The following is a 13233-nucleotide window of genomic DNA, read 5'->3' as shown; positions in this document are numbered from 1 at the left end:
CCTCCCTGGAGGCAGCTATGATTGGGCATTGGCTCCTGTGGTGCTCCCACTCCCTGCACAGAGGAGGAGCTGACTTTGCAGCTGGAAGGATGGAGGTTAGACAGCAGAATCATGGGTTAAGCAAAGCAATTCAGGAAATCTCTAGACCTGGGGTGGGGGTGGGGTGAGGGTGGCCCTGTGAAGGGACATTACCAGTCATGCAAACCAATGTGCAAAATGCAGGCGTTGCTGGGAGCCCAGAAGGCCTACTGGCCAGGGCTGTCGATGCTGAATGTGCAGCCTGATGCCAGGGGGTGGGCCTTGAGTGCTGCCCAGCCAGGAACTCCTCAGCGCCCAGAATACCAATGACCCTCCTTTCCCCCAGCTCCAGGGCCTCTGCTTCCCTCTCCTTTCCCAGGCTCTCTTTGCTTTTCCCTCCTCCCTCCTGGGACTGTAGGCAAAGCCCCTGGCACGGACAGTGGGCAGGACAGCCAGATGCCTAGATTCCCTCCCCTGGATACCAATATTGGCACCAAGGATAGCTTTGGAGGGCTTTGATCCTCATAATCTCCACAGCATCTTCAAAATACCCCAAGTAAAGTAAGGTGCATTCAATGCAAATGCAACCTCAAGGCAGATCCCCAGCCTTCCATCTAGACTGCACCCTAGGTCCCTCTTGGGAACTCTGGACTGCTCCCCACTGAATGTGCCAACGCCCCCACTCACCACTGCCTGGCTTTCACTCCCAGTGCCATGGACTTGGTTCCAAAGGGCTTTGAGAACCTCACATAAAAACCCACTCCAAATCTTTGAGGGTCTAAAGGGAAGATTCTGGCCCCTTCCCAGAGACCCATCTACTGTAGGGACAGGAAAAGAAGACCTGGGGGGTAGGGAGGGGTAGATGGTAAATTTCCTTACCAAGAAAAATGCCAGCCAGGTGCGGTGTCTCATGCCTATAATCCCAGCATTGGAAGGCCAAGGTGGGCGGATCACCTGAAGTCGGGAGTTCAAGACCAGCCTAGTGAACATAGCGAAACCCCATCTCTACTAAAAAAATACAAAAATTAGCCGGTGTGGTGGTGGACACCTGTAATCCCAGCTACTTGGGAGGCTGAGGCAGGGAGGATTGCTTGAACCTGGGAAGTGGAGGTTGCAGTGAGCTGAGATCGTGCCACTGCATTATATCCTGGGTGATAGAGTGAGGCTCCCTCTCAAAAAAAAAAAAAAAAAAAAGAAAAGAAAAGAAAAGAAAAGAAAAATGCCCCAGAAAGGATGCAAGACTGAAGGGGACAGAGGAAGGTGCCTGGGACAGTCTGGGGAGGAAGGGACCTCGATCTATTTACTTCGTTAGACCAATATGAGTTGAATTGAATTCCAGCTGTGGACCAGGAACTGCTCGAGGCCTGGAAATGCAGTTCCAATTCTTCTAGTAGAAAGAGCGGATCTGAGAAGGCCTTCGGGGACAGATCTGGGCAGCCTTAGGATGTCTTTTTGCTCCCCTTAGAAGTTGCATTTCAGAGCTGCAAGAAAACCCCCCTTCCTCAGGACAGTCTCAGCATGGATGCATGTGTCCAGCCTACCTCCACACTGGCTCTACAGGGCTTGAGGCCAGCCAGGCTGAGCCAGGCAACCAAGCGGCTGAAATTTAATCCCAGTGGTGGCTCAGATGTAACCACAGTTCTTGCCTCAGGGAAACCTGGCTGTGACCAGAGAAGGCAGAGAAAGTGACCTTCCTTACCACCTCTCCTCATGACCAGAAGGATTGGCACTCACTTCGGTGCCCTGGGGGAATCCACCCTTGACTGAGGCCAGCAGCACCTGGGTCTGGACAAGGGCTGGTACCAGACAGTCTGTTCCAAAAAGCAGATCCCTGGTGGGAGACCAGACGTGGTGAGAGAACAGACAGCTGCTGTTGCGCAGACGAGGACTCTGGCATCACAGGCACTGAGGTCAAATTCCTGTTTTGTCATTTGCAGTGGCAAACCTCAGAAAGGGCCCCGTTCCTCCTCTGAAACTCTCTCTTCTGAACAGTGGGCTGAATAATATCTACTGCACTGGGCAATATCTACTGTACCTGTTCTAGGCAAGGGAAACCCCTGGCCCATGACTCGGGCTTAGCAAAATCTAGTTCTTTTCCTTTCCCAGTCACACACACTTGCGCACACACACAGCAACCTAATCTGCCCAGATCTCCTGGCCAGGAGGTCAGAGGACCACTGCCCTGGAGAGCTCATTATTTGGGAGTAGAGACCTTTCCAGAGGATTTCTCAGGGGAGGAAATGGGCACTCTGAGGCTTTTCCAACATTTCCAGCTGAGAAAATTTATACTGAAGGCTAACCTGCAGTTTGAACCAGCAATTGCTGATCAGAGACTCTCTTTACAATTACGGACACTTGGCCATATGTGTCTTCCCCCGTTTCTATTTACTTTCTGAGAGGAGGCAAGAATCAGCCTCCTCCAGAGGCAAGAACCCCCTCCAGAGGAGGGGCTCTGCCTAGCCCCTCCAGATCTCAGAAAGAGATCCCTGGGGATTGGCTGAAAGCAAACAGAATCAATGGCAGCGGGAAGAATGAAAGTCAGATTTCAGGTAGAACCTCCTGTCTCAGTAACAGGAGAAAAATTCCTCCAGTAACCTTGAATATCTTCTGAACACGGAAACTGAGACCCAAAGAGGTCAAGCAACTGTCCAGAGTCACACAGCATGGAACTGGCTGAACCATGACCAAAAATCAAGTCTCCTGACTCCCAGGCCAAGGTTCTTGCCAGGGCTCCCCAGATGTCTATCAGGGGAGGGAGAAAGAGGGAGGTGGAGAGAAGAAAGAGAGAGAGGGAGAGCGTGGGCAGCTCTCCTCCCTCTCCCACGTGCAGCCCAGCTGGCTGCCTCCCAGTCTCCTGGGCCCTGGGGAATTTTCCAGCCTCTCTGGATGAGAACAATCAATCTCCTGCCTCCACCGGACCCCCAACATCCCCCATCCATGCCAAAGCTGAGGCCATGACCCAAGTTGAGAAAAGAGAATCTGCCCTCCACGCTCCTGCATCCTGAGTTCCCCCCATCTCCAGTGTTAGCCTTGGGCCTTCCTCACTGGATTCTATTCCACAGTGGCCACTGGGAGAGCCTGTCCTGCCAACCTCCTTGAACACCTGCCCCCTTTCTCCCAGACTTGGAGTGGGGGCCTAGGCAGCTGAGTTCCTCTCCGAGGCCCTGCACGGGCATCTGGGTCTTGTGCCATAGGCATGTGGGAGTAGGGCTGAAGAGGGGGATGTGGCTCTGAATGCTGGCACAGCTGTGTTCAGAGAATGGGGGCTTTGATAGCTTCTGAAAGAGGCCAGGAAGCACGGGACCCCAGCCCAGGCAGGAGGGGGTGGGGGGCAGAAATGGCTGAGTGTGGCTCTGAGGGCTCTTGCTGCCGCAGACAGGGAGTGTGGAGTGGGAGGGGATGTGGAGCAGTAGGGAGACAGCAATGGGGACTACAGGCTGAACAGCATCATCAGAGAGCCCCCCTGCTGCACCAGCAGGAGCCAGCGTCCCCATGAGCTGGTCAGACCGCGCTTTGAGGGTTGCAAACCCATGTGTTCAGAGGAGACCATCAGCTTGTTGCACAAAGAACAGCGGGAGGAACTGGAGGGCTGGAGCCCGAGTACATCTGAATTTACCTCTTGAGGTCCCACCAGAAGGCTGCCTGTAGTGCCTCTCCCAGCCTCCTATGGGGAAGGACCACTCATTTGTCTGTGATGTTGGGGCAGGTACTAATCTCCCTGTGCTTCAGTTTCTTCACCTGTAAAATGGTAATAACCCCTTGTTGTATGGTTTTGATGTTGGAGCCATGTAAATATTTTATATAATTAAAATACGAAATTAATTAGAGAGAGTTTACATTAATTTTAATTAAATTAAAATGAAGAAAAATGAAGCAATCCCTAAAAGTATAAAACAAATTGTAACAAATGTACCTAACTATATATGAAGTTGGAGCAAAACTACATAGAAGAATTTTCTTTCGGCCAGGCTCAAGCCTGTAATCCCAGCACTTAGGGAGGCAGAGATGGGCGGATCGCCTGAGGTCAGGGGTTCGAGGCCAGCCTGGCCAACAAGGTGAAATGCCATCTCTACTAAAAATACAAAAATTAGCTGTGTGTGGTAGTGCACACCTATAATCCCAGCTACTGGAGCAGCAGAGGCATGAGGATCCCTTGAACCTGGGAGGCGGAGGTCGCAGTGAGCCAAGATTGTGCTACTGCACTCCAGCCTGGGAGACAGAGTGAGACTCTGTTTCAAAAAAAAAAAAATTATTTCAAGTGATTATAAAACTCAACATTTTGACTATATGTCTCCAGCTCTCTAAGGGCAAAAGGAGCCATGGATTAATTTTAATGTTGGCATTATTTTGAGCATTATTATAACACACTATTTATCATAATAAAGCAAATAAGTAATTAGTTATATTAATAGTGTTAGAAACCAAGATTTTGACTGTAAGAGAAGAAGAGTTAAGCAAAAACTGCTAATCTTTTTTTTTCTTTTTTCTTTTTTTTTGAGACAGAGTCTCTCTCTGTTGCCCAGGCTGGAGTGCAGTTGTATAATCTTGGCTCACTGTAGCCTCCGCCTCCTGGGTTCAAGCGATTCTCCTACCTCAGCCTCCCAAGTAGCTGGAACTACAGGAGCGCACCACCATGCCCGGCTAATTTTGTATTTTTAGTAGAGATGGCGTTTCACCATGTTGGCCAGGATTGTCTCTAACTCTGATCTCAGGTGGTCTGCCTGCCTCAGCCTCCCAAAGTGCTGGGATTACAGGCATAAGCCACCATGCCCAGCAAATACTGCTAATCCTTCATCTGAATTGGAACTATCAGCATGAACTCATGCCACTGAAAAGGCTCAGAAGTAGTGACAACCCAATAACAATGAATCCCCTGTGGGTCCCAGTTGTGATCTCTACATGGCACTTCCTGCTAAAAGGAACAAGGACTCTTTGGAGAAATTCCAGGTCTGGGCCAGGATAGCTTGTCAGACTAGAGAATAAGGAAATTTGGCTGGGTGTGGTGGCTCACATCTGTAATCCCAACACTTTGGGAGGCCAAGGCAGGAGGATTGCTGGAATCCAGGAGTTGGAGACCAGCCTGGGCACATAGCAAGACTTGGTGTCTACCAATAAGAAGAAAAGAAAGAAAGAAAAGAAAGAAAGAAAGAAAGAAAGAAAGAAAGAAAGAAAGAAAGAAAGAAAGAAAGAAAGAAAGGAAGGAAGGAAGGAAGGAAGGAAGGAAGGAAGGAAGGAAGGAAGAAAGGGAGAGAGAAAGAGTGAGGGAGGGAGGGAGGAAAGAAGGAAGGAAGGAAGGAAAGATCAGCTGGGTATGGTGTCACATGCCTGTAGTTCTGACTTCTTGAGAGACTGAGGCAGGAGGATCACTTGAGCCCACAGTATGAGGCTGCAGTGAGCTAGAACAGTGCCACTGCACTCTAGCCTGGGTAACAGAGCAAGACCTTGTCTCTCTAAAACAAAAAAGAAAAAAAGAGGGAGAGAGAATAAGGAAGTTACAGTTATAAAACTCAGGTCAGGTGAGGGTCATTTTAAAAAGATCCAGTAGCCAACTTGAGAAGACTTCCACTGGCCAAAGATGAAACAGTTTCAGCATTAAAATGAATAATGACTGTACGAGATTGAAACATATCAAATACATGAAAATTCCATAAGTTCATAATGATACTGAAAAATAAAACCATTGGTCACCTTTGGACATTGATAGGGCACCATTCAAGGTTTTGAAAATTAATAGGGGGTAGCAGATCCTGTTGGTGGCCTGACCCATATTCTCTTAGCACTCAACAAACCAAAGACTGCTTGCTGCCCGAGGATATTTGTGTCTGTACCTAAATGCTTGGCCTAAATGCACAGTAAGTCAGAAGCACCAGAAGGTTAATGCCCCTGGGACCAGTCCTCAACCAGTAACAGGTGGGGAGGTGGTAAATTATTATTATTATTTGAGATGGCGTCTCACTCTGTCACCCAGGCTGGAGTGCAGTGGTGTGATCTCGGCTCTGCAACCTCAGCCTCCTGGGTTCAAGTGATTCTCCTGCCTCAGCCTCCCCAGTAGCTGGGATTACAGTACATGCCATCGTGCCTGGCTAATTTTTATATTTTTAGTAGAGACAGGGGTTTCACCACTTTGGCCAGGCTAGCCTCAAACTCCTGATCTCAGGTGAACTGCCCACCTCGGCCTCCCAAAGTGCTAGGCTTACAGGCGTAAGCCACCGCACCTTGCCGGAGTTGGTAAATTAAAACCCCAGCCTCCTCATCTCTCAGGTGGGAAAACGGCGGCAAGTTCTACACTGGCTCCCAGAGTGCCCCAGCAGCGTGCATTTCATTTGTCCATGGCCATAGCCTATTCCATTATGCACCCTTTACTGGATTCCTTCCCTTTCTTGTCTCTGTTTGCCATCAAGATCTGGGAATTTTCAGACCCACCAAGTCATGAGGACATATGGGCACAGTAGCAACAAAAAATGGTACATTTAGGATTGGGTGTAAGCATGTCCAGAGGGCACGAATAAGCTACAAGTGCAGGGAGTCCAGATCCCACTTTACCTGTCCCTGTTGCTCCTGTACCTCTCTTAGCTCACCCTGTAGCCTTGTGGGAATTTCCCTATAACCAGGCTTTAGAGGAGGAAAAAATGCAGGCCAGGTTCATGGATGGGCCTGTCTGATTTATTGATGTGAGCTAAACTTGGATGCTGCCACACTACAGCCCCACTCAGGGGTGGCCTTGAAAGACAACATGAGGGGAAATCCTCCAGGGAGGACGTTTCAAGCAGCATGCTGGTGGTCTACTCTGCAGTGAGAGAGGTGACTTGAGGAAAGTATATACACATGGATTCTTGAGCAGTGGCAGTGGCTTAGTTGGCTGGTCAGGGCCCAGAAGAGAGTAAGATTGGAAGGTTGGAGGTAAGGATGTCCAGGGAAGAGGTATATGGATGGACTTATAGGAGTGGGCACAAAGTGATAAATCTTTGTGTCTTATGTCAGTACCATCAAAGAACATTCACTGCAGAGGGGGCATTGAAGAGCTAAGGGGACAGAAGGACTCCAGTGGATAAACCAGCCTTTGTCATGCCAGGGCTTCCATGGTGAGCCCATGAATGGAGTAGTTGTGGCAGTAGATCTGGAATCTATGCAAGGGCCCACTAGCATGGGCGACCTCTCATCAAGGCTCATCTAGCTACTGCCACTGCTGAATGTTTGGCCTGTCTGCAGCAGAGACAGATGCTGACCCCTCAACATGGTACCAGCCCTCAAGGAGATCAACCAGCCAGTTGATAGTATGTTTTTTGTTTGTTTGTTTGTTTTTGAAACAGGGTCTCACTCTGGTTGCCCAGTCTGGAGTGCAGTGGTGTGATCTCGGCTCACTGTGGCCTCGACCTCCCAGGCTCAGGTGATTCTCCCACCTCAGCCTCCTGGGTAGCTGGGATTACAGGTGCACACCATTGTGCCTGGCAATTTTTTTTTTTTTTTGTATTTTTAATAGATATGGGGTTTCACTATGTTGCCCAGGCTGGTCTTCAACTCCTGATCTCAAGTGAGTGCCTGCCTCGGCCTTCCAAAGTGCTGGGATTACAGGTGTGAGCCACTGTGCCTGCCTGATGGTATGTTGATTTCAGTGTATCTCTTTCAATCTGGGGGAGGAGCAATATGTCCTCACTGGGATTAGTGCATATTCTGGATATGGATTTGTCTTTCCTGACCAAATGCCTGGGCCAGCACCAAATATCAAGGGCCCAAAGTCAATGATTTGTCCTTATGAGACCCCTTATAGTCTCACCTCTAACCAAGGGTCTGCACTTTATAGCGAAGGAAATGTGACAATGGATGCACAGCCACAGGATCCATTGGTTCTATGCTATAATATATCACATCACCTTGAAACTGCCAGCTTGTTAGTACATTACTGTGGCCTCTTTACAGCACATCTAAAGCCAGCCTGGGGAAAAGATCCTGTGAGATTTGGGTGCAGTCCTGCAAAATGAAGTATATATTTTGAGTTAATGGCCATTATATAGTGCTATATGCCAGACAGTTAGAAATCAGGGGTACAGGAACCAAGGTATGGAAGAAGGAATACCCCTCTCACCATCAGTCCTAGTGACTCACTTGGGGGAATTTGTGCCTCCTGTCCTTATACATTTAAGGTCTGTGGGATTAGAAGCCCTGGTTCTTGAAGTGGCAGATGCAGCTCCCAGAGGTCACAGTGAAGATGCTACTAAACCTAAGGCTACAGCAGCCATTGGGTCATTTGGGGCATCTCATACCAATTGGCCAGTACACAAAGAAAGGAATTATGCAAGCAGAGATATTTGATCTTCATTATCCCATGAACAGGCAGTTGTATCAATGATGGCCTGGCAAGGGCATGGTGATGTAAGGCAGAGAACTTCAGTCATGAAGGTCTGGATTTTCCATTGAGAAAGCCCTGCAGACTAACAGAATGAACTGTAGAGGAGGGAAATGTTGAATGCTGATTTCAGCCTTGCAACCAACTGCAGCAATGGTTATGGTTTGTCCTACTAACCCACCCATTGTACAATTAAAAAAAAAAAAAACAGATGGAGTCTCACTCTGTCACCCAGGCTGGAGTTCAGTGGCATGATTATGGCTCACTGCGCCTCAAACTGCTAGGCTCAAGAAATCCTTCCATATCAGCCTCCCTGGTAGCTGGGACTACAGACACACGCCACCACGCCTGGTGAATTTTTAAATTATTTTTTAGAGACAGAGGTCTTGCTTTGTTGCTCAGACTGGTCTCAAACTCCTAGTTTCAAGTGATCCTCCAGCCTCGGCCTCCCAAAGTGTTGGGATTACTGGCAGGAGTCACCACACCCAGCCTGTTGTTAAGACTTTCTTTTAAAAGAATTAGAAATTGCAATCAGCCACCACCTTGAAGCATCAGAGACAGAATAGAATGAACTCATGGAATGAGAGGCACAAATGGATCCTAGCAGTGCAAAGGGGGGACGGTACTGTGACCCATATCCTTCAGCATTCACCTCTACAGGAGGACGCATCTTTGTGAACATCTGTGACTCTGCCTGGAGGCGTTTGTTCTGGCTATGGGAGCATGTTTGTGCTCAGGGCAAGCCAGGAATGCTAGAGAGTTAATGCTCCCAGAAGGAGCTCTCAACCAACACAGAGGGAGTTGACAATTATATCCTATTTCTTTGCCCCTTGGGGAGGATTCTCTGAGGCAGCTTCTACACTTCTCCCAGGTTCCTCAGCAGGATTGATCCCCATTGGCCCACCTGCTCTAATACATGCCTCTAACTGGCTCCCTTCCCTTTCCTGTCCCACTTCTCCACTCCTCTCCCAGTGCCTGTTAGCATCACTTACCAAATAAACTACTTTTGTTCCTGACTCAAGATCTGCTTCTAGGAAGCAGATCCTTCTTAGCCCACCTAAGACAAATGCGAGATAATCAAGCACTAATTCTACCTTTCCTGAATGGGTGAAATGTCAGAGTAACAAAGCAGTTATTGAGAGCAGTTTTTCTTACAGATGATTCACAGCTAATAAACGAAGGTGGGCCTGGCGCAGCGGGTCATGCCTGTAACCCCAGCACTTTGGGATGCAGGGGCGGGCAGATCACTTGAGGTCAGGAGTTCGACACCAGCCTGGCCAACATGGTGGAACCCCTTCTCTACTAAAAATACAAAAATTAGCTGGGCATGGTGGTGCGCACCTGTAATCCCAGCTACTAGGGAGGCTGAGGCAGGAGAATCACTTGAGCCCAGGAGGAAGAGGTTGCAGTGAGCCGAGATCAAGCCACTGCACCTCTACTCTAGCCTGGGTGATAGAACAAGACTCCATCTCAAAAAAAAAAAAAAAAAAGAAGAAGAAGGAGGAATGACAAAATTAGACAATCTCCATTTTGCAACTCTTAATGAATGAATGAATCTAGACAATGATCAGCAGTGCCATCAGATAAAAGGTTGATAGGTGTAGAGGGTCGAATGGTGGCCACTAGAAAATATGTCCATAGGCTGGGCACGGTGGCTCACACCTGTAATCCCAGCACTTTGGGAGGCTGAGACGGGAGGATCACCTGAGGTCAGGAGTTGGAGACCAGCCTGACCAACATGGAGAAACCCTGTCTCTACTAAAAATACAAAATTAGCCGGTGTGGTGGCACATGCCTATAATCCCAGCTACTCGAGAGGCTGAGGCAGGAGAATTGCTTGAACCCGGGAGGCGGAGGTTGCGGTGAGCCTAGATGGCGCCATTGCACTCCAGCCTGGGCAATAAGAGCGAAACTCCATCTCAAAAAAGAAAAAAAAAAAAAAAGAAGAAGAAAGAAAGAAAAAGAAAAAAAAAGATAATATGTCCACGGCCTAATCCCTGAAAACTGTGAATGTTATCTTGTTTGAGGAAAGGATCTTTGCCGATGTAATTCATTACATGAATTCATTCCTTAACTTCAGTTAAGGGTCATGAAATGAGTTCATCCTGGATTAGCTAGGTGGGGTAAATCCAACGACATGTGTCCTTATGAGAGATAGAAGAGGAAAAGACACAGACTCATGAAGAGGAGGAGGGTACATGACCACAAAGGCAGAGATTGGAGTGATGCGGCTAAGGAAGCCAAGGAACAGAAGCCGCCAGAAGCTGGAAGAGGCAAGGAAGGGTTCTGCCCACAATCTCCAGAGGGAGTGCAGCCCTGCTGACACCTAGGTTTTTGTTTGTTGTTGCTGTTGTTGTTGTTTACCACTGTGCTATTGAAAACGTAGATTTTGGACTTCTGGCTGGTAGAGAATAAATGTCTCTGTGGTAAGAGAATAAATGTCTGTTGCTTTAAACACAAAATTTGTGGTAATTTGTTACAGCAGACACCGGAAACTAATACAATGGAGAACCTTTTATTTATTTACTTATTTTTGAGATGGAGTCTCACTCTGTCACCCAGTCTGGAGTACAATGGCGTGATCTCAGCTCACTGCAACCTCCACCTCCCAGATTCAAGCGATTCTCTTGTCTCAGCCGCCCGAGTAGCTGGGACTACAGGTGCTTGCCACCACGCCCCGCTAATTTTTTTAATTTTTTTATTTTTTGTAGAGACAGGGTTTTACCTTGTTGGTCAGGCTGGTATCAAACTCCTGACCTCAGGTGATCCTCCCACCTTGACCTCCCAAAGTGCTGGGATTACAGGCGTGAGCCACTGCGCCCGACCTACAATGGATAACCTTATAATTAATGGACAGACAGCCTGAATTTACTGATCAATCTCAACATCATTGAAAGTAGATTAAGGCCCAGGTGTGGTGGCTCACACCTGTAATCCCAACACTTTGGGAGGCCAAGGCGGGAAGATGTTTAGAGGCCAGGAGCTTGAGACCAGCCTGGGCAACATGGCGAAATCTTGTCTCTATGAAAACAAAACAAAACAAAACAAAAAACTAGCTGGGTGTGGTAGCACATGCCTGTCATCCCAGCTACTCAGGAGGCTGAAGCAGGAGGATCACTTGAGCCTGAGAGGCAAAGGTTGCAGTGAGCCAAGACCGTGCCACTGCACTCCAGCGTGGGTGACAGAGCAAGACTCCATCTCAAAAACCAAAAAAAACAAACAAAAGAAAGTAGAACCGCCAGTCACCAGGTGCCTCCTGATGTGATGAAAGAGGAAGTATACAGTATCACTTATGGAATGTTTCCAGAAAAAAGTGAATGTGAATTTGTTTGTTTGTTTATTTATTTTGAGGTGGAGTCTCACTCAGTTGCCCAGGCTGGAGTGCATTGGCGTGATCTTGGCTCACTGAAACCTCCACATCCTGGGTTCAAGCAATTCTCCTGCCTCAGCCTCCTGAGTAGCTGGGATTACAGGCACCCACCACCATGCCCGGCTAATTTTTTGTACTTTTAGTAGAGGTGGGGTTTCTCCATGTTGGCTAGGCTGGTCTCAAACTCTTGACCTCAGGTGATCCACCTACCTCGGCCTCCCAAAGTGCTGGGATTACAGGCGTGAGCCACTGTGCTTGCTTGAATTTAATCAAACTTCTAAATATAATCACAGGGGACAAAGGAACATGCTAAATGACATTTGCAAGGGTACACTCAGCCAAATCCAGAATGTGAGAAACTTGACAGGAAAAAATGACCTAGTTTCTTAAACAAACAAATACAATGGCATAGATAAAATGAAGGGGGCAGGAGTATTGCAGCTTAACAGAGACTTAAAAAAAATTACTCGGGCCGGGTGCGGTGGCTCACGCCTGTAATCCCAGCACTTTGGGAGGCCGAGGCGGGCAGATCACGAGGTCAGGAGATCGAGACCAGCCTGGCTAACACAGTGAAACCCCATCTTTACTAAAAATACAAAAAATTAGCTGGGCGTGGTGGCGGGCGCCTGTAGTCCCAGCTACTCTGGAGGCTGAGGCAGAAGAATGGCATAAACCTGGGAGGTGGAGCTTGCAGTGAGCCGAGATTGGCCACTGCACTCCAGCCTGGGCAACAGAGCAAGATTCCGTCTCAAAAAAAAAAAAAAAATTAGGAGGCTGAGGCAGGAGGATAACTTGAACCCAGGAATTAAAGTCTAGCCTGGGAAACATAGTGAAACCCTGTCCCTTAAAAAAAAAAAGCATTAATTAACTCCCTCAGCCCCCAAATTAACCAATTGCAACGTTGTAGACCTTAATTGGATTCTGGTTTGAGGAAACCAACTATAAAATTTTATTTTTTGGACATTCAGGGAAAAATGATCATGAACTAAATATTAGATGACTAATGTTTAGTTTAATTTTGTTGGGGAAGTGTGATAATGGAATTATGGTTATTTTTAGAAGTCATTGTGTGTTAGAAATGCATATTGAGTCTCACAGGTGAAAAGATAGGATATCTGGGATTTACTTTCAAATACTCCAGTAAAACCCAACATGACTGAGAGGACCCATGAAAAAAGAAGGGCAGAATTTTGATAATGGTCAAGCCAGGTGATGGAGTAGTTCATCATACTATTCTCCTTACTTTTTTTTTTTTTTTTGAGATGGAGTCTCGCTCTGTCGCCCAGGCTGGAGTGCAGTGGTGCGATCTCGGCTCACTGCAAGCTCCGTCTCCCAGGTTCACGCCATTCTCCTGCCTCAGCCTCCCGAGTAGCTGGGACTACAGGCGCCCGCCACCACGCCTGGCTAATTTTTTGTGTTTTTAGTAGAGACGGGGCTTCACCGTGTTAGCCAGGATGGTCTCGATCTCCTGACCTCGTGATCCACCCGCCTCGGCCTCCCA

This window comes from Homo sapiens, chromosome 1 (genome assembly GCF_000001405.40).
Source record: "Homo sapiens chromosome 1, GRCh38.p14 Primary Assembly".
NCBI lineage: Eukaryota > Metazoa > Chordata > Mammalia > Primates > Hominidae > Homo > Homo sapiens.
Note: the sequence above shows the minus strand (reverse complement) of the source record.